This window comes from Homo sapiens, chromosome 2 (genome assembly GCF_000001405.40).
Source record: "Homo sapiens chromosome 2, GRCh38.p14 Primary Assembly".
Taxonomy (NCBI): domain Eukaryota; kingdom Metazoa; phylum Chordata; class Mammalia; order Primates; family Hominidae; genus Homo; species Homo sapiens.
Window position 1 is genome coordinate 42,245,485 of NC_000002.12, and position 22,567 is coordinate 42,268,051.

A 22,567-nucleotide genomic window follows, 5' to 3' on the forward strand; every position below is an offset into this window, starting at 1 on the left:
TATTTTATTTTATTTTATAGATGATAGTATTTCTGCTGCAAGTACTTCTGATGTTCAAGATCGCCTGTCAGCTCTTGAGTCACGAGTTCAGCAACAAGAAGATGAAATCACTGTGCTAAAGGCGGCTTTGGCTGATGTTTTGAGGCGTCTTGCAATCTCTGAAGATCATGTGGCCTCAGTGAAAAAATCAGTCTCAAGTAAAGGTAATTGTGTTGTAAAGTTAAAAAGAGTCTTGCTTTTTGCAATATTTTCTTTGAAAGTTGAAGCTGGAAATATAAAACTAGTTTCTTATGTGGATTACTTGTGATTATAGTTTGTTTTCCATTTCGTTTTTTTAATTCCCAAAAAGTTCTGAAAGTTTATTCTTTATTATTTAAAATAAAGAATTTTTGTGTAATCCACTGATTATACTCACAGGTTTTTTATGTTACAGTATTTGTGTGAAGTTAGTATCTTCCAACTAGATGATAAGTTTACTCAGGGCAGGAACTGAATCATCGTTTTGTGTCTCTCATTTCATATTGAACATAGGTGGTAGGCACTCATGTGTTCTTAAAATTCTGTTGTCAATACAGAAACATAATTAAAATCATCATAGTTTAAATAGCTTTATTCTGAACCCTCTGTGGTTGTTAGCAGAATCCTGAAAAAATTAATTTAAGCTCTGAAGCTTACGAGCCCAGTATAATGGGACTTCTAACTTTCCAGTATTGGGAGTTTTCAAGGTTGAGACAAACAGTCGTCAAGACCCTGTTGCTCTGAGTTTGGAGCAGATGTAGTGTACCTTTTCCCTTACTTCAACCACCAAGAAAGAATTTATTATTCTTTCACATGAATCAAGATTTGAACATATCATTTGATGTCTCTTACTGATTTATTGGTAGAGTATATGGGGATAGGCGTGATTATGCCCATTTTGGCAGTGGGAAAAGTGAGGACATTTATTGGCTTGCCTTCCTACTTCGATGTCAATGTAAATTATTAACCTAGGGAGGAGTTTTATATAACTCCCAAATTCTAGCTGAGTAGGAGATAGTGCAGTCAGCCAACCAGCAAATGAGAAGCAGATTTAGAAGAAAGATTGTGAATTCAGTTTCTGAATGTTGTTTAGGGTGTATATGGTATGTAGAGATACATATTGGTAGCTGAATTACATATGGATCTAGTGCTCATGTTAGTTTTGGCTAGCAGTAAGAATTTGGGAATGTTCCTCTTATGGATGATAGTTGAAGCCATAGAGGATGTAAAATGAGAAGGCAGTCCAGCATAGTTCCACTGGGAGCTCCAACATTTCAGCATAGCACAAAAAGTGATGCACATTGCCAGCTGCTTACAGAGATGTCAAATAAAACAAAGACTGAGAGATGACCATTGGATTCGGCATTTACAGCAATATTAGAAACCTCTCCAAAAGCAATTTTAGTGGAGTAATAGAACTGCAAATCAAATACCAGTATTTTGAGAAGCAGCAATTAAGAATAATTGTAGAATTGAGAGCAACAAATATAGCCACTCTCAAAAAATTCACCTGAGTGGAAGACGGTGGTAATAGCTAGGAGAGGATGCTATGTTGAAGGCCAGTTTTAATTACTTTTTAAAATTTGTTAAAAATATGTGATAGACTTGAACACAAAGATAGGTTGAGGACAAAAAGGCAGCAGAGAGGAAGACCAATACGGGGAAATGGGGTGGTAATTGATGAGGCAAGTGTCCTGAGAATTTGAGAAGGGATCTTTGAGAACCACAACTTCTAGCCCTGATAACTGTGAATATATATCGAGATAATGATAACCTTTAGGTGCAAAGATAGGTCGTCAGTGGTAGAAAAAAAGAGAATGCATGTTTGAAATGGTTAAAGCGGAGAATGGAAGACCGTAGACATTTGAAAGAGATGCTGAGAGACCCTGAGGCTATGGAGGCGGGATACTTATTGTGGAGGAAAGGTGAGTATCATTCTGCCCGGTTTTGTGATTCCCACTCTTTTCCCTCTTGGCCTCATGTACTCTGGGTCTGTGTATTTACAGTGGAGAGTTAGATGGAAGAAAGGATTGATCTTTTTCATTAGTGATAGTGAGATAAATATGTCAATGACAAAGGACAAGGGGCCTGAGGGTTTGGCAAAAGACTTGATAAAAACCACTTTGACTAATAAAGTGTTATATTATGCTTGCTTGCTTGATTTATTTATTTATTTATTTATTTATTTAGAGAGTCAACTTTGAGGACCGCCAAGATCAAGCCAGAAAACAATTTTGTTTGGTTATGAATTGATTTTTATAGGAGGATTTTGGATTTTTAGAGTAGGATAAGGAGCTAGATCTGTTAATGTATATGGGCTTTATAGGGAATATAAGCTTTGTATAGAGAGGGAAGAACAAATTTCCTATATATAATATACAGACTCAGAACCCGAGGGTACATATAAGTATTTTAAAACCTATAATAGAAAATGATAACGATGTTTGATTGCTATTCACATTTTTAAAAGCTTATTTTAAATAGTTTATATTAGTTTTTTTAAACTTTTTTAGGAGACACGGTCTTACTCTGTCACCCAGGCTCACTGTAACCTCAAACTGCTGGGCACAAGTGGTCCTCATTCCTCAGCCTCTGGAGTAGCTAGGACTACAGGTGTACACCACCATGCCCTGCTAAAACCTTTTCTTTTTTTTGTACAGGCGGAATCTCTCTATGTTGCCCAAGCTGGTCTCAAACTCCTGGGCTCAAGTGATCTACCTTGGTCTCCAAAGTCTTTTTAATATGCTGAAAAAACAGTGCATTGTAATTTTATGTAAATTGAGAAAAATTTTAAAGATATTTTCTCTCATATTGTATCTACTAAGGTATTTCAGTAAAGAAAATTCTGAAATATTTTAAAGAAATTTAAAAATTGCTTTTTTCCCAGCATATACACAGTATTTTATATGACACATGAGTTATTTAGCACCTACTTCTCAATGTCATGAAATATAAATACAGTTAACTAGCTATAATTACTATTCCCCAGGAACTTATTTTCTGTAAGTTGTCCTTTCTGGTCCTTTTCTAATTATCCTTAGTCATAATTCCTATGTCTCTAAAGTGAGTCTAGGATCAGTTTGGTTAATGGCTCTTTTTCTGGAGCCACAGAACCATCTCTGTGGAACTTTTTCTTTTCACATAACACTAACTTAATTCTTTTTAATAACCTTACTAATTAGAGATTTTTTTTCCAATTGATTTTTAAATTATACTTCATAATTAACTTTGCTATTTTATAATATGCTAAGATGGTTCATTCTTTGAGTTACTCTGTTACCTGGAACACAGGCAGTTTATGAAATGGTTTGATGGGGGTATTGATTATATAATAATTTGAGAAAATAATTATTTCATAGATGAGCATAATTCATGTTAATTACTGTATTTTCCTTTAGTGGAAAAATATGTCCAACTAATTATGTTTCCAATAGTGATATTAAGACATTGAGAGAAATACATATGTAAAGTTTCATAATGTTATTGGCAACTCTGAACAGCTTTATCTTGGAGTTTATTTATAGCATATCGTTGAAAGCAATTGGAATTTAAGTGACTCTTCACTATTGACATTTGTGTACAGCCTAAAATAGATCATCTCAGTTTTGATATTAAACAGGATTGATAAATTAGTGGTAAGAAAATTTGGAATAAACATTTTAAGCAAAGTATTTTCAAATAAATGAAGTTTTTCATAACATTAAAAATGAAATTATCTTGTAGGGATTTGTATTTTTTCTTTAATTAAAAAGTAAAGTCATTTTTTATACTATAGACAGTTTTATGTGTGATTTTTTAGCCCCTGTGAAATTAGAATTTATAGTATCGAGTATCACATAATTTATTGACAGGAAAATGATCATTATCATCTTAAGGTGTTTACATTTTCTAGAGGATTTTTCTTTAGAGGTCAAATTAAATTCCTGTGGATAAATAGGGTAGAATCCTTTTATGAAGCTGTGGTTCAAAGGACAAGTCAACTTCCCTATTACTGAAGAGAGCTATTTTATGGTTTTGCTAGATGGTGGTGATATGGGAAGGACATAAGTTGTCATCAGATATGACCAAAAGTAAATGCTAATGATGTGTGTGCTAAGGGCTTAATGAAATTCTGCTACGTTGCTTCATAGTAGTATTGCCATTCAGTAAATACCAAAATCAGAAACACACCTAACCTTTAAATATATTTCGTTGTCTTAGTTTATCTTCTGCAGTGTGCCAGCAGTATTTAAAGCTAAGCCCCATTTTTTTCTTGAGTAAATTATGCAGGACACTTGACTGAGGTAGAAAATTTTCCCATGAGTTTTTAAGGTGGCCAGTCACTTAAATTTTTCATATACCTTCTCCTCTGTCAGAGAATTCTTTCCTTTTGACGGCATGTGTTCATAATATATGCACCAGTTGCAGCTGAATCCCTGCCAAAAGAAAAAAATATTACCTGTACTTCGGAGCAAAAGGGAAGGCCCAGAGAACACTGGAAGTTTTAGCTGCCAAGAAGATGAATTATGTCACAGCTGGTGCCTGGGAAACTCATTAGGACCTCTTGAGGTGACCAAATGAATGTAATTTGAGAACACAGCCCAGTGGCATTATGTGAAGACAAACTGTTAGTACACAATGATACGGAAGTTAAAAAGTTAAATTTATCTGAAGTTGGCAGTCAGTCATGTAAACCAGGAAACTGCTGGTTAAGCCAAAGTGTGAAGCATTGTAATTGCCACTTGAGAAACGAAAGAACCCAAAGGCAAAATTGAAATATAGGGGTCAGTTCTCCAAAAGAAACATTGCTAATTATGTAAAATCTGGGATACTCTAAAGGCACAGATTTGTATCATTCAGCTCCTGGTCCAAATAACATTTGGGAGGATTCAGGGATTATCATAGGTTTGCTGTAAATGTTATCGATAAGCACATTACCTCCATCAGCTTAGGAAGGTATGAATTGCCTTGGTGGGACCCTTACGCTAAAATGACTAGTAATTGTGGAAGGGGATGATGGAGTGTCTGATTATTTTGTGTGTAGAAGTATAGTCATGCATCACTTAACAGGGATACTTTCTGAGAAATGCATCATTGGGCATTTTTTTCCTTGTTTGAGCATTATAGGGTGTACTTGCACAAACCTAGATGGTATAGCCTAGTATGCATCTAGGCTGTATGGCATAGCCCAGTGGTCACCAACTTTTTTGGCACTAGGGACTGGTTTCATGGAAGACCATTGTTCTTCAGACTGGGGTGGGTGGGGGGAGGTGTTGGGATCATTCAAACATACTACATTTGTTGTTGTATTCTTATTGCATAGTAATATATAATGAAATAATTATACAACTCACCATAATGTAGAATCGTTGGGAGCCCTGAGTTTGTTTTCCTGCAACTAGCTGGTCCCATGTTGGGGTGATGGGAGACAGTGACAGATCATCAGGCATTAGATTCTCATAGGAGCATGCAACCTAGATCCCTCACATGTACAGTTCACAATAGGATTTGTGCTCCTATGAGAATCTAATACCGCCACTGATCTGACAGGAGGCTGAGCTCAGGTGGTAATGCAAGTGATAGGAAGTGGTTGTAAATACAGATGAAGCTTCACTCTCTGGCTTCTCACCTCCTGCTGTCTGGCCTGGTTTCTAACAGGCCACAAAGGTACCAGTCTGTGGCCCAGGGGTTGGGGACCCCTGGTATAGTCTGTTGCTCCTAGGTTACATAGGCAGTTGTAACACAATGGTAAGTATATGTATATCTAACAAACCTAAACATAGAAAAGATATGGTAAAAATAGGGTATTAGAATCTTCTTGGACCACTGTCGTATATGCAGTCCATCGTGGAACAAGACATTATGCAGTGCATGACTGTATATTGGCAGGTGTTGCCTCAGACCAGGTAACAATTACTGTTTACAGAGTGCCATTTCTATATGAGAGTCAAATGCTTCTTTGTCACTTCCACTCAAAATATACTTTTAAGTAGTGGCCACAAGTTGAAAGGCCTAAGGGTACATCTTCCTGTGAAATAAGAGGAAGGTAGAAGTATACAGATAAAATTCCAAATGGAGAAGATAGAATTTGATGGAGTACATGTAGTCCTCAATCTTCTCAAAGACTGAAGCAAGAGTAATCAGCCAATTGAGAAAAGTGACGAAGAGCCTGAAAATGAGGAGTGGAAGAAGTATGTATACAGTTGGAGCCATGAGGCATGTGATGGAGAATTCAAGATAAATAGAAGATTTGGGATATCAACTAGACTATCTCTACCCTTCTGATCAAAACTGTAACCATCTTAAAGGCCTCAGAAATTATTTCCTGAAAATGATCTATTTTTTGGCACATTTTGGAATTATTTTAAATTTTTGTTTGTACTTCTCTTTTGGCATATATATTTGTTGCTCCCACTAGGTGATACACTATTTGAAAGCAGGGACAGTCACTAACATAGTCATCCCAAGGCTAGCTGAGAAACAATTTCAATTTACAAATCAATAAATTGTTTGTAAATTGAATGCCAGAAGAAGTTAGTTATAGAAACAGGAAGTTGTGATAAAATTACAGTTTTAGAGAGACAGATTGGGATAGATGCAAGAATAAGAAGATAATATGTACCGGAGTAGCAAGAAGGATTTCAGATTTTGAGCTTTGGAATATGCGGCAGTTCTTAGTGATAACTTTACTGTGTTAGTCTACATACAGTACACTGAAATTTATTTGTATTTAGGAACTGTCAGGCTAAGATGTCAGTAAGGTCGTCTACTTGAGTCTGTCATTAAGGAGTGTAAACTATAGTGAATAGCATTCTTTTGTCATGATCAAGTGTAAAAGTTTTTATTGACCTTCATCCTGGCATTATGATGGTTTCCACCGTGATTCTTAAAACTTCCTTCACTTTTTCATTCACGCTACATAGCTCTTGGTCCCCACCATCTTATTCTCAGACCACTGCCCTGAAATCAGTTCTTCACATGGCTACTAGAGGGTATTCTCTAAAATGTAAATTGAACTCTGCTTTTCAGCTTAAAACCCTTTAGTGGTTCTTTATTCTTTATAGATAAAGTCTGCATCATCTGAATGCTACTTAACTCCTCTCTGTGAACTATCCCCTCTTTTGTTCTACGTGCTGGCCACATCAAGGAGCTTTTTGTCTCCCCACCACCACCCACTCAATGCCGCAAATACATACACTCTCTTTGCTGTTAGAGTGTTTCTGTTCCTTTACACATACTGCAATAGGATCCCATTGTCTTATCACCGCCCTTTCAGCTGTCTATTTCTTTCTTATTCTTTAAGGCCTTATTCTGTGTTTTTTCAAGGAAGCCTTTCTTGAGCTCTGTGTCCCTAATCCTTATAGAATTATGTGTCCTTTCTTTGCACTTCCATGATACTCCATTGATATCTCTCTGTTACTGTACTTACCACGTTTTCATTGCCAATGTGATTCTCCTTGAAGATTTTGAATTCCTTGATGTCAGTAACTGCCTTATATATGTTTGTAAACATAAGAGTAGGATTATAATTGGTCCTGAGTAAATATTTGATTGGTGCATGGATGATGAATACGTTACAGTTTAGGCAAGCAGAGGTGACTAGCATATGCTGGAGAGAAGGATCATCCAGGTGCAGAAGTGCAGAAGAATAAAAAGTACTTAGTTTAGGAATTCAGAATAAACTGAAGCATAGGGTGTAAGATTGGGAGTTTCAAGAAATGAACCTAGACTGGTAGGGCCCATAGTGGAAGGTTTTCTTACACCTTGTTAAGGAATTTAGTTTTCATCCTGAAGGTAGTGGAGAGCCACTAAAGAATCTTAAGCTGAGGACTGACAGGCAGATTTATAGTAATTCGTCCAAGATGCCTATGTTTTTGACATTTTAACATCTCTGAAATTACGATGCATATTACAATTGATAGTGTCTTACAGTTCTAATAGGAAATACTTCTTTCTAATGGTACTTAAAATAATGGGGCATATTACAGTTAGTGGCATTAAATTTAAAGATACATAGCATGTGGTAGGTCATTCTGGCACAGTGTAGCGATGCCATAGTGTAGGGTAAAACTGCAAGAAGAGAGACTCGAGATAAACTCAACATAATCCAAAAGAGAAATTTGGTAGTGAAGATGCATCCATTTAGTTGTTTTGATATTAAGTACTTTTTGTGTGCTAGGCAGACTGCTCAAGAGTTATTTCAACCCTAATTCGAGTTATTAAAGTCATATGCCAGGGGGAAAAAAAAGACAAAAAACAAAAATACCTTGACTCTCACCTCACGCCATAAACAAAAATTAAGCAAGATGGATCATAGACCTCAATGTAAGGGCTAAAACTTATGTAAGAAAGATCTTAGTGACCTTGAGTTTGACAAAGATTTCATAAGTAGCACACAAACAAGCATAAGCTATAAGAGAAAAATCAATTAATTGAATTTCATCAAAATTTAAAAATCTTGTTCTTTCAAAAACTGTTTTGAAAATAAAAGGGCAAGCTATAGAATAAGAGAAAATATTTGCCAGACATGTATTTGTCAGAGGACTTTTATGTAGAATATTTGAAGAACTCATATGCCTCAGTTATTAAGAAGGAAGCCCATTCTTAAAGTGGGCAAAATGTTTGAGCAATTGAAGTTGTTATGCCATTTGAGGCATTGGTAAAAGAACGGTAAAAATGCCTGTAATTGGTGGTCGGGCACAGTGGCTCACGCTTATAATCTCAGCACTTTGGGAGGCAGAGGCAGGTGGATTGCTTGAACCTAAGAGTTAGAGACCAGCCTGGGCAATGTGGCAAAACCCTGTCTCTACGAAAAAAATATAAAAATTAGCCAGGCACGGTGGTGTGCACCTGTAGTCACAGCTGCTCAGGAGGCTGAGGTAGACAGATGGATTGAGCCCCGGGAGGCCGTGGCAGCAGTGAGCCATGATTGTGACATGGCACTCCAGCCTGGGCAACAGAGCAAGACTCTGTCTCAAAAAAAAAAAAAAGACTAAGAAAGAAGAAAAAACTAAATCCAAGGCTTGCTAGAGGGAAGGAAATAAAGATTAGAGCAAAATAAAGGAAGTAGGGAATAGAAAAACAATAGAATCAGTGAAACCAAAACTTATGAGGTAACACTTAATACCCTCTTGAGTTTTTTTTTTTTTTTAACCTGAAAATAACAAGTGTTGGCAAGAATATGGTGACATTGGAATCCTCATACATTGCTAGTGAAATTGTAAAATGGCGCAGCCACTGTGTTTGGCAGTTCCTCAATAAGTTGAACATACAACAACCGTGACTCAGCAGTTCCGCTCCTAGGTATATACTCAAAATAATTGAAAACAGGTGGTTATATGAAAAATTTTACACAAATGTTTATGGCAGCACTATTCCCATTAGCCAAAAGGTGGAAACAATCCAGATGATCATCAACAGATGAATGGAAAAACAAAATATACAGTGGAATATTTTTCTGTTATAAAGAATGAAATATATGTGCTACAACATGGTGAACCTTGAAAACATTGTACTATATAAAAGAAGCCAAACAAGGTATGGCTTCTTTGGAGGGTAGGGTACAGGGAGTGACTGCTTAATGGATACGCGGTTTTTGTTTTTTTTTTCTTTTCTTTTCTTTGAGACGGAGTCTTGCTCTGTCGCCCAGGCTGGAGTGCAGTGGTGCGATCCCCACTAACTGCAAGCTCCGCCTCCCAAGTTCCTGCCATTCTCCTGCCTCAGCCTCCCAAGTAGCTGGGACTACAGGCGCTCGCCACCACGCCTGGCTAATTTTTTGTATTTTTAGTAGATACAGGGTTTCAGCATGTTAGCCAGGATGGACTCGATCTCCTGACCTCGTGATCCGCCCACCTCAGCCTCCCAAAGTGCTGGGATTACAGGCTGAGCCACCGCGCCCAGCCAATGGATACATGGTTTCTATTTGGGGTGATGAAAATGTTTTGGAACTTGGTAGTGGTGATGGTTGCACAACATTGTGAATATACTAATTGTCACTGAATTCTACATTTTTAAATGGTTAAAATGATAAATTTTAGGACTGTTTTACCACAGTTTTTAAAAAGCTACTGATATAACAATAAGTAACTTGTTTGACGTACTAGAACTAAATCTGATGACCAGTGATATTTGCATAATTTGAGGATTAATGTAACTTATATGTAAAAAAAAAATTTCTTAAGAGGTTTCAAAAAATAAATGCAGCAGGTCTCCTGCTTCCTGTCTTCTAATTCATTCAATCTAATGTAGGACTTACGAATCTATATTAAGGAAGCACGTTAGGTGATTATGACACAAATGACCTCCAACATCTTATTCTTGACAAAAATGCAGTGTTATACCACCATGTGTGGAACTTCCTAAGGTACTAGATATTACTTGTGTGCACGTGAGAAAACTGAGTCCAAAAATTAAAAAATAAAAATGTTCTCTATTCCCAAATCTTTACTTGACTCTTAGTATAGATAGGACTGTTTTATCTTATGATGTTGTGTCTTCTGACCACACTAATATACCAGTCACACATTTATTCCACTCCTTGTATATGTACTGTGTAAGTTAAAGGAGAGGTTAACTTTATATACTTATGCTTTATTTGTATGGAGTAACAGTCTAGAATTTAATATTTATGGTTTCTAGGATTTAAAATTTATGGTTTTAACAAGCTGTTTTTGAAGACTGATGGCATGGGATTTATGGATTACTTGAGGCACACATTTGAATCATGTGTTATAAGGCTGCTGTGTGTGGTAAAGCAAACCATTTAGCTAAGAGAACTAGCCCAACTGTGTTTTAGTAAATTAGTATGGCTTTCCTATAGGTCTGTTTCGATGGGATTAAGTCTTGAGACAGTATCATGTGCTGCATACCATGGGGGCATTCTGCTCAAGAGTTATAAACAATAATATACTTAATTTTTTTTCTACCACCCCCTCCTTCCAAATGGACTTAATTTTAAAATTTAGATCTTTAAGGAATATATTCAAATTTGATATAATTTTTTTCCTTAATTATCTTTAGGCCAACCAAGCCCTCGAGCAGTTATTCCCATGTCCTGTATAACCAATGGAAGTGGTGCAAACAGAAAACCAAGTCATACCAGTGCTGTCTCAATTGCAGGAAAAGAAACTCTTTCATCTGCTGCTAAAAGGTACCCATTTATGAAAGGGGGAAAAACTAACATTGCAGAATTGTCTGAATGTGGTAGAGATCTCCCTTTAGAAAGAATATGAAATAGAGCTGTTTGAATTCAAGTGAGCATGTCCTTTGAATTCTTAAACTGTGAAAGTAGAGACATTTAGCCTGTGCTCACTCAGCTTGCACTCATCATGCCTGTCAAGTTGTGTGAGGAAGCTTTCCGTTCTCACTAAAGAAAGAAAGCAGTTTCATTTCCTGGTTTTGTTTTGTTTCTTTGTAACAAGTATTTATTGAAAGCATCACTATATTTAAAGAAATTATATAACTGAATTTTCCATAGCAAGTGATATATTTGATACAGCATTTTTAAAGGCAAAACAGAATCTTCGATATATCTATGTTAGTGGGAGGTCAAATGCTATTATAACTTTTATTTTTTAACCATAACTATAAAATTAAGGCTTATTTCAAAAATATAGTACTATCTGGGGTGTGTGGGGGTGTATGTGTGTGTGTGTTAGGGGATGGTGGGCAGGAGGGCTGTGGAATTACAGCAATATAAGTTTCAGTGGATTACAGATTTGCATTCTTTATGTTCTTTTCATCAGTTAACTAATTTACTCCAATAAAAGTGCTCACAGGATTTTCCCCCTTTTGTAATTTCTAGCAAATTATTCGATGTAGAGTTTGGAGAGACCATAGGTGATCAGCTACAAAATCTTAAAACCGTTTTCTTCAAAGAATGAGTGAGGAAAAATCTTAAGTAATAAGATCATGTGTAACAATGTACTGATGGAAAATGCTTACCTCAATAAACTAATGCTAGTGACCGAATTATTCATTGGTGTGGATTCATAGATACTTAACCAAACAGTTGATGACAAGAATGTTGAAGAAATACCAAGATCTTCAGCCCTTTTAAAAATTCCGTCTAGAGGCCGGGCACGGTGGCTCATGCCTGTAATCCCAGCACTTTGGGAGGCTGAGGCGGGCGGATCACGAGGTCAGGAGATCGAGACCATCCTGGCTAACACGGTGAAACCCCGTCTCTACTAAAAAATACAAAAAAAATAGCCAGGCGTGGTGGCAGGTGTCTGTAGTCGCAGCTACTCAGGAGGCTGAGGCAGGAGAATGGCGTGAACCCAGGAGGGGGAGCTTGCAGTGAGCCACGATTGCGCCACTGTATCCCAGCCTGGGTGACAGAGCCAGACTCCGTCTCAAAAAAAAAAAAAAAAAATTCCTTCTGGAACTCAATCTTTGTCGTCGTCATTACAGAATCTAGACTTTCCCCTACAAAGGATGCTAAACTTTATTACCTGTACTCCACTTTGAGTAGAAAAAGGGAAACTAAGAAAATGTTAGAAAATTTTAGTACAATTTTAAATAAATTTCCGTGTTGTATCCAGTAGTGGTTCAGATTCAGCCCATTTTCTTACATAGCTATTGCACTGTTGCTTGTTGCTGTGTAGTGATCAGTATTATGCACATTAGTGATTCAACAATCCAAGGCCAGCTGAGTTTGTTAGTTTATGATCCAGGGTCCCTGTATTTTGCTTTTAAATAACCCAGAAGGAAAATGGCTCTTTTAGGTTGTACTGGGCCCACATAAAACTAGTGACCTCTGTAATCTTGTTGAAGAATCGCAAGGAAGAAGTAACTTCTGTTTTTTGTTTTTGTTTTTGAGAGAGTTGGACATATTGGAACTCAGTTTTTTAATTTCAGAGTTAATCTGATATTCTTGAAGTATAATTGTATTTCTTTTTTTATTTATTTTTTAAGATATATATATATATATTTTTTGAGATGTTGTTCTGCTCTTGTTGCCCAGGCTGGAGTGCAATGGCGCAATCTCGGCTCACCGCAACCTGCACCTCCCGTGTTCAAGAGATTCTCCTGCTGCAGCACCCGGAGTAGCTGGGATTACAGGCATGCGCCACCACACCCAGCTAATTTTGTATTTTTAGTAGAAACAGGGTTTCTCCATGTTGGTGAGGCTGGTCTCAAACTCCCAACCTCAGGTCATCCGCCCGCCTTAACCTCCCAAAGTGGTGGGATTACAGGTGTGAGCCACTGTGACTGGCCAAAATTGTATTTCTTAGCACCTGCTTTTAAAAAAATTGAACACAAAGTAGATAGTCAAGGGCCAGTCTGAAGTCAGAAGTTATCAGAAGTGCATCAGGTTAAGAAATGTCACTTGACATTAAAATATCTATAACATTTTAAACTATTATAATGTGATAAATTGTATATACTATGTACATTTATTTAAAATGTTCTTGAACAAGCTTACTTGTTGATTATAATCGAATTACAAAATGTCCTTTGATTAAGAAAGACATGTAAATGGGACCGGATGCAGTGGCTCACGCCTGTAATCCCAGCACTTTGGGAGGCTGAGGCAGGCGAATCAGCTGAGGTCAGGAGTTTGAGACCAGTCTGGCCAACATGGTGTAACCCCATCTCTGCTAAAAATGTAAAAATTAGCTGGGTGTGGTGGCGGGCGCCTGTAATCTCAGCTGCTGGGGAAGCTGAGGTGGGAGAATTGCTTGAACCTTGGAGATGGAGGTTGCAGTGAGCCAAGATCATACCACTGCACTCCAGCCTAGATGACAGAGCAAGACTTCATCTGAAAAAAAAAACAGGGGGAGGGGGGCGGCAGAGAAAAGAAATAGGCATTTAGTAGTTTCCTACCTTTTCATCACTGGAATTCAAGTCTTGATTCCATCAGCTTTATAATATTGTCAAGAGTGTTTTCAGTATAAGTATGCTTATCCAGTCTGGTTAGGAATAGCAGGTGGTTTATTAACCAAGAGTCAAAGTACATAATCAAAAGAATTTATACTTAAATATCTGAAATATTTTAACATAAGATACATTCACCTGTATTCATTCATCACTTTTTAAATGAAAGACCAAACCTACCCTCTAAGTATATATCTCTGATCAAATTCCTTGTTGACTGTCTTTCATAAAATATATCCATAAATAACTTTCTAAAATTTTTAGTTTCATTTCTCAGAAATGAAAGGAGTAAGAAATTTAAAACTCTGGCAGAAGAGTATGTTAGAACGCATCTCTCTTTCTATGATTTTGTTTCTTTCTTTCTTTTTTTTTTTTTTTTTTTTTTTTTGAGACGGCGTCTCGCTCTGTCACCCAGGCTGGAGTGCAGTGGCGCAATCTCGGCTCACTGCAAGCTCCGCCTCCTGGGTTCACACCATTCTCCTGCCTCAACCTCCCAAGTAGCTGGGGCTACAGGCGCCCACCACCACACCCAGCTAATTTTTTGTATTTGTTAGTAGAGACGGGATTTCACCATGTTAGGCAGGATGGTCTTGATCTCCTAACCTCGTGATCCACCCACCTCGGCCTCCCAGAGTGCTGGGATTACAGGCGTGAGCCACTGTGCCTGGCCAATTTTTTTTTTTTTTAAAGAGACAGAGTCTCACTTTGTTGCCCAGGCTGGTCTTGAACTCCTGGGCTCAAGTAATCCTCCTGCCTTGGCCTCGCAAAGTACTGGGATTACAGGTGTGAGCCACCACACCCGGGCTCTGTGATTTGTTTGTTTTTTGAGATGGAGTCTCGCACTGTCATCCAGGCTGGAGTGCAATGGTGCAATCTCCGCTCACTGCAAACTCCGCCTCCCTGGCTCAAGTGATTCTCCTGCCTCAGCCTCCCGAGTAGCTGGGATTACAGGCACATGCCACTGCGCCAAGCTAATTTTTGTATTTTTAGTAGAAACGGGGTTTCACCATGTTGCCTGGGCTGGTCTTGAATTCCTGACCTCAGGTGATACTTGCCTCGCCCTCCCAAAGTGCTTGGATTACAGGCGTGAGCCAGTGCGCCCAGCCGCCTCTGTGATTTTTTAAATTGTGTCACTCACACTAAATTTAACAGCAATTTTTTTGATAACTCATTTTTTTTGTAGTCTTTCTAGAACATTAAACTTAGTTTTCATAGAAATTGCAATTCTCTTTGTATTTAATTAACTTACATAATTAAAATAACAACTGGCATAAACAGACTTGGGGAAAACTTAAACTCTTGGTAAGTTTAAAACTCAATTGAGTGGAGTAGAAGTATACAGAAAAAAAACAGGAATTGGAGAATAACCTATTAAACATGAATATTTAGTGTTCTTTTGGCATCAGTCGGTATGCTTTACACAGATAGTCCTCTGATTTGGGTAACTTGAGGTCAGTTAAGAGACCTTCATTTGTCCCCCAAAATCTGCCAAGATGGCAAAGTTTATTAGAGACCATTTCTGTCTAAAGGGGCAATCTTCATGGGGTGTATCGCCTTAGAATTTTTATAAATTCTTTACTGAAGATGTTAATAGCTTCTGGAATTTTCAAAGAAATATTGTCCTTATTGAATGAAAACAGTGCAAATTGTATTAGCTGTATGACTTAGGGTTTTGAATTATATAATAATCACTTTTCTATCGTTTGATTTTTTTTCATTTGTTTAAATGTGTATTGTTCCATGTTATACTTTATTTTACAGTGGTACAGAAAAAAAGAAAGAAAAACCACAAGGACAGAGAGAAAAAAAAGAGGAATCTCATTCTAATGATCAAAGTCCACAAATTCGAGCATCACCTTCTCCCCAGCCCTCTTCACAACCTCTCCAAATACACAGACAAACTCCAGAAAGCAAGAATGCTACTCCCACCAAAAGGTTTTAACTGTCCCCAAGTACAGAGCTAGGGAATGGTTGTAATGATACCTAAATTCTGTGACTTGGGAAAAAGTTAGCTATCCAAGGATTCTGAGAGAAAAAGCTGGTGGCTTTATTTTTCCCTTCTTCATTGCTTATAATTTATGCTTTATAGCCCATTGGGGAATAAAGAATTAAGGTCACAATTTCTCAGTTAAAACTGGAAAAAAAAAAAAAAAAAACTAAGTTATAAACAATCTGATGAAAAGAAGGCAGGAATAACCTAGTCGAAAACCAAACAATATTTTCTTAACCACATTTTTGAATACTTTTAAAATATGTATGTAACTATGCATAAATTTATAGCCATGGATAGAAAATGGCCATATGTAATTGTCCTCACTGTATTTTGGCATCATTACAACCTTCAACCTGCAAGGGCCCATCTCAAGTGGCTCTTCACTGTGGCTGCATCTCAGTTTCAGTTTTGGGTCTTGGGAGGATAAGTTCTTGCTTGAGTAGAGAAATGAATCCATTTCACCTGGTCTTTTCTATGCTAAAGGCTTGCTTGAGGGCTTCTGTGTCCGTAATAATTAATATTTTAAAGTTATGAGAAGGGGAAAAGGGAGAAATATTCTAACAATGTGTGTGAGCCTAAATTGAGAATCTAAACCTGCATGCTGGGAGTACAGTGCTACAGCTGCCTCCTAATCAAATATTGAGACCAATCTAATTAAATTTGCCTGTTTAGAAATGCTTATTCAAGCCTTGTGATTAGGAATAGTCATATTTTATCATCGTACTTCTGCTTGGAAATCTTAGGAAACTATTAAACCATTTCCAGAACTGGCTAGAATTTTAATAAAATAAATGACAACCATTCCTAAAAGATTTAAATTTTTATTTGATCAATTTAATATTTTGCCTCAAATCGCTAATGGAAATTGGGAAAACCAAAATACCCTTCACTTGATCGATGCATGTTTACCACTTACAAAATGCTTTGTCTGTGTGTCTCATGCAGATTCTTACCCAATCTAAATGGTTTGTAGTTTATCTGCCTGGTCTCCTGTGGAGTTTTTCTTGGATATAGCTTATTAACGTTACATAACTTTGGATTGTGTGTGGTTTAAGGTGGCTTTTTATAATCAGTCTCTTTAAGGTTCTGATTTCACTTGATATCTTCTTTGTCCCAGCATCTTTTTTTCAGCTTCTTGAGGTCTCCTGGAAATGTGCTTGCCCTCCTAAATTGCTCTTTGGATATACTGTTGCAAGAAGTATTGGAGACTGGATGAGTTTGAGGATAGTTAGCAATGCAATGAAAAAATCATTTGTAAAGAAACAAATTTCACTTATAAGTATAGGGAATCAGGATTGCCAATAACCACATTCTTATATAAAGTCTTGTTTATTTCTGATCATTGGTAAAATTGTCCCTAAAGATATAAACAAGAGTTTATACCTTGTTATATTTAGAAATTGTCATTTGTACCATATGTAATGTAATTACCTGAGGACATAATTGCACAAAAAATGAAAATGGCAGCCTTATAAAATTCAATGGCTATGAAAAAATACAGGTTTTTTTGTAACTACAAATTATAAGAAACATTACTCAGATGTAAGGAAATAATTTTTTTCTGTTAACAAAAGTGTTTTTTAAAAAAAATCAGGTAATATTTGTTCTAGTGAATCTTCTGAGTGATACAGAAAATTATAATACAGATTTGGGAATTGCCTTGTTTAACTCCTTCACTCATCCAGGCAGTCTTTCAACTAATCCTTCTCTTTTCTGGATTAGCTTTAAGGAAATGTTAATTGCTGCTTTTGTGTTCTGTTTAAATTGTCAGTTACATGTCTTTGATACTCAGAATTTTTCTCTAAGAAATTAATGTTCCTTCTAGCATAAAACGACCATCACCAGCTGAAAAGTCACATAATTCTTGGGAAAATTCAGATGATAGCCGTAATAAATTGTCGAAAATACCTTCAACACCCAAATTAATACCAAAAGTTACCAAAACTGCAGACAAGTAAGTATTGCACTTTCTTCATTATATCTGAAAAGTAATAATTATTTGGCTATTATGTTTGCATGTACAGTTATGTATGTCTGGTTTGAATCTTTTTTTTTTTTTTTTTTTTTTTTTGTGACAGAGTCTTGCTCTGTCGCCAGGCTGGAGTGCAGTGGCACCATCTTGGCTCACTGCAGCCTCTGCCTCCCAGGTTCAAGCAATTCTCCTGCCTCGGCCTCCCAAGTAGCTGGGACTATAGGCACGTGCCACCATGCCCAGCTAATTTTTGTATTTTTAGTAGAGACGGGGTTTCACCATGTTGGCCAGGATGGTCTCGATCTCTTGACCTCATGATCTGCCTGCCTCCGCCTCCCAAAGTGCTGGGATTCCAGGCGTGAGCCACCACGCCTGGCCTTGGTTTGAATCTTTTTAAAAACTCTGTATTATAATTTATACTTCTCTTATGGAGTCTCACTCTGTTGCCAGGCTGGAGTGCAGTGGCACAATCTTGGCTCACTGCAACCTCCGCCTCCCAGGTGCAAGCGATTGTCCTGCCTTAGCCTCCCGAGTAGCTGGGACTAGAGGTGTGCACCACCACGCCCAGCTAATTTTTGTATTTTTGGTAGAGATGGTGTTTTCACCACGTTAGCCAGGATGATCTCGATCTCTTGACCTCGTGATCCACCTGCCTTGGCCTGCCAAAGTGCTGGGATTACAGGCGTGAGCCACCGTGCCAGCCTGGTGTATGTTTTCTTTCAAGTCTTCTACAAAAAGTTGTATCTACCTTTTAAGGCTCCCAACTCAAACAATACGTGTTTTTTTTTTTTTTTTTTTTTTTTTTGAGACAGTGTCTCAGTCGTCCAGGCTGGAGTGCCATGGCACCATCACTATCATGTCTTACTGCAGCCTTCACCTTCCTGGGCTCAGGTGATTCTCCTACCCCAGCTTCCTGGGTAGTTGGGACTACAGACGCGTGCCACCATGCCCAACTAATGTTTTTGTATTTTTTTGTAAAGACAGGGTTTTGCCATGTTGCCCAGGCTGGTCTTAAACTCCTGGGCTCAAACAATTCACCTGCTTCAGCCTCCCAAAGTGCTAGGATTACAGGTGTGAGCCACTGTGCCCAGCCAAATAATAAATCTTAATAATCATATAAGATTTGAGTATTTTTCATAAGTTATTTTTATGCTTTCACTGTTTAGATGCTCTTGTGGGATATTCATTGTTTTATAAAATAGTGTATATTAGTAGTTCATCAGTGAGAAACTTTAAAAAATGCTGATTTCTTACTTTCACTTCCAGAGATTTATCTAGATTATAGCCTAAGCATTAAAACTTTTACAGTTTCTTGAGGTGATTTTAATGGTTAGCCATATAAACTTATAAAATAAATGTGTTTCTTAAATTTCTTTTCTAGGCATAAAGATGTCATCATCAACCAAGGTAAATTAAAAATCCTTTTAAAAATTTTATTTTGCCCTTCTTAGTTTAATTTTTGCTAATTGAAAAGAATATTTTCATCCAGTGCACTTTATCAGTTCATAGTAATCAAAGAAAAGTGCGTTACTGTAGTCATTTAGGAAAAAACCCAGTTTTTATTGTAAGGTAATGTCATTTTTGTCTCAACCAGCAAAAATGTCAACTCGCGAAAAAAACAGCCAAGGTAAGAATAAGCTACGCAGTTGGTTGCCTTCTAAGTGAATTTTTTCCTGGATCTCTTATTTGGCTTTTTATTATTTATGCTGCCTGACTTTCTTCCTTAAAAAGGAAATACAGTGATTTGAGCTAGATGAATCCAGCTACATTTTACTTTTTTTTTTGAGACCGAGTCTCATTCTGTTGCCCAGGGTGGAATGCAGTGGTGCAATCTCGGCTTACTGCAATCTCCACCTCCTGGGGTCAAGTGATTCTTGTGCCTCCCAGGTAGCTGGGGACTATAGGCACCACCACACCCGGCTAATTTTTGGTGTTTTTTGTTTGTTTGTTTTGTATTTTTAGTAGAGACGGGGTTTCACCATGTTGGCCGGGCTGGCTGCAAACTCCTGACCTCAGGTGATCAGCCCGCCTCAGCCTCCCAAAGTGCAGGGATTACACGCATGAGCCATGGCACCCGGCCAATTTTTGTATTTTTAGTAAAGATGGAGTTTCACCGTGTTGGCCAGGCTGGTCTCAAACTCCTGACCTCAAGCAGTCCTCCCGCCTCAGCCCCCCAAAATGCTGGGATTATAGGCATGAGCCACCACACTTGGCCCGGCTGCATTTTTAAAAATCCATCTTATTTCTAAGAAATCTGAAGATTCAAGGTGAACAGTAAAAATACAGTATTACAAAAAGGGATAAAATACTAGAGGGAGTTTTCTCCCTTAAAAAAAAGTTTTACCTAGAAATAAACGATTGATAAATTTTAACTCAGTTTCCTGTCTTGCCAACTTCATTGCAAATAATCACTCATTTCTTGATGCTAAGACTGAAAATATGATGAGTCTAGCAAATCCATTTCCTCTTAAGTTTTTCTTTTATATTGATTGTAACTTCTGGCTACTTGCTGTTGTTGGCTTGTTCAGACCAAAAAAAGAGAGCAGACTTTTGGCGAATGCGTATTTAATTTAATTGCACTGTAGGTAAGTTTTATACATCAGTTTTACATTCTCTTTAGATTGCCTGCAAATTTAATTGAAGCATGCTGTTCTTAATGAAAGCACGTCCTTTCTGTGCATGGTTTTCACAGCTCATTTCTATGTTTCATAGTTAGCCTTATTTTCTGTTCTATTATAGTAACCAGCTGCAACGTGGTTAAAGCTTTTTTTAGAGATTTAACTTGATTTCTGTGGATTTTTACTTCTTTCGTTCCAAAAAGAAAAGAAAGAAATATTTGTAATAGTCTTTAGGTCATTTGTTTTTACATAGACATTCTAAATGAAGTTGAATTTTGCTGGCATTCTTCTTTAGTAGGTCTTACTTTCTCCCTTCTTTATAATACAACATAGATTAAGTAATGTTTGAGATACTTTAAAGGGAAAAATGAAATTTTATTTATGAAGATAATTCTTAATACATTATATATCAAAACTTTTAAGAGAGAGGGTCTTGCTCTGTTGCCCCGGCTGGAGTGCAGTCACTGCCTTGGCTCACTGCAGCCTTGGCCTCCTGGGCTCAAGCAGTCCTCTCACTGAAGCCTCCCAAGTAGCTGGGACTACAGGCGCGCACCACATACCTGGCTGATTTTTGTATTTATCATAGAGATGGGGTCTCACTTTGTTGCCTAGGTTGGTCTCAAACTCCTGGGCTCAAGCAGTCCTCCTGCCTCAGCCTCCCAAAGTGTTGGGATTACAGGCGTGAGCCACCACTTCTGGTCCGAAAACTTTTTTTTTTTTTTTTAAATAGAGTCGGCGGTATGTGATAGGAAGAGCAGTGAATGGGGAATAACTGTGTTTAGTGGTTGGTCCTGGCTCTTATGCATAATAGCCTTATGACCTAGGCTGAATGACAATGTCTCTGAGTGGTTTTCTACTCTAAATATAGTAACTATAAAGCTTATTTCACATGACTACTGAAGGATGAAATAATATATATGAAATATAAATTGAAATATAGTGGCATCTACTGAAATAGGGAACATTTGAGGAGAAGGAGATGTGTGGAAAAGGAGTTTGGCTTTGGACAATTGCATTTGAGTTGTCTATAAAACTTAACCTACATGTAGAGATGTATAGCAAACAATGTCATGTAGATGTTTAAACACATGGATTTTGGAGTCCAGAGAGTGGTTTTACCATTGACTTAGCTATAGTGACATTGAGCAGGTTACTTCAACCTCCCTAAGTCTTTGTTTTCTCATCTGTAACTGAGATAATAATAAGCCATTAAAGGGTTACTGTAAAAATTATAGTAATAAAGTGTACCCAGTACCTGACATATAATACCAGGTAAGTTTTAGTTATTAATATATGAATTTGGCAGTAAAACCTTGCACTCAGATTTGTATTATCAGATGAAAAGATAATTATTAAATAGGTGAGAGTCATTGACTGTAAGTTGTATAGCTATTTTAGAAGTGTGGTATTCATTTTGCATGGCATATTCACAACACATTTTCTAGTATTTCAGCTATTAATGCTAATATTTGTCATTTTTTGACATTCTTTTTAAAATATGACATTAATTTAGCCTCTTTTTGACAATGATAGCTGTGGCTTGTTCCAAATCATCTGCTTTGATTTGAGAAGAAGCCTATTTACATATGGTACATTTAGGTGAGTGGTAACAGAGAATACTTTACCTGAAAGGCCTGTGTCCTTCAGACAGAGCAGAGTAGGAGAAAAGCTAGAAAGCTGCATATTCCAGTCACCACTTAGGCAGAAGTCAGGAAACTGGTTGTTGAAAGCAATAGAAAGTGAAATGAGATGTACGCAGGGCAATCTCTGAGGTTAGGTGTGAGAGGAAGGGCAGGTTATGCCACTAAAAAGAGGCTCTTACTGACCTATATGTTTATACCCTGAAACCTAAACTTTTTTTCATTACTCTCTCCCCTAGTTCTGCTGGGTTGTGCTCCAGATACAGCAGAGATAAAGTCCTAGCATGTCAACTTAAAATTTGAATAAGTTCCATGTAGGACTATCTATTGTTAGAGGTAGCAGTTAGGTTGTAGTACAATAATATTCACTTTGGTGAGTTACTGATTTTAAAAAATTTTCCAAGCTAAGTTGGGGGACTTCAGGCACCATGTATAAAATTGCTTATTGTGGAAAATAGATAACAATTTG

The 22,567-nt window shown here is 37.3% G+C and overlaps 1 protein-coding gene across 8 annotated transcripts in view; it reads left to right on the plus strand.

Annotated features, from left to right (window-relative positions):
- Positions 1 to 22,567, plus strand: part of EML4 (EMAP like 4) — a 163,196-nt gene that overhangs the window by 76,132 nt on the left and 64,497 nt on the right. For 5 of the 8 annotated variants that reach the window (XM_047443953.1, XM_006711992.3, NM_001410776.1 and 2 more), the window contains 6 exons: positions 21 to 203; positions 11,017 to 11,146; positions 15,637 to 15,810; positions 17,694 to 17,822; positions 19,222 to 19,247; positions 19,435 to 19,467. In XM_047443953.1, coding sequence (XP_047299909.1) covers positions 11,046 to 11,146; positions 15,637 to 15,810; positions 17,694 to 17,822; positions 19,222 to 19,247; positions 19,435 to 19,467 — 463 coding nt within the window. In that variant the 5' untranslated portion in view covers positions 21 to 203; positions 11,017 to 11,045. The remainder of the gene's footprint in view (positions 1 to 20; positions 204 to 11,016; positions 11,147 to 15,636; positions 15,811 to 17,693; positions 17,823 to 19,221; positions 19,248 to 19,434; positions 19,468 to 22,567) is intronic. The other 3 variants (NM_019063.5, XM_006711991.2, NM_001145076.3) reach the window with 3 other exon arrangements.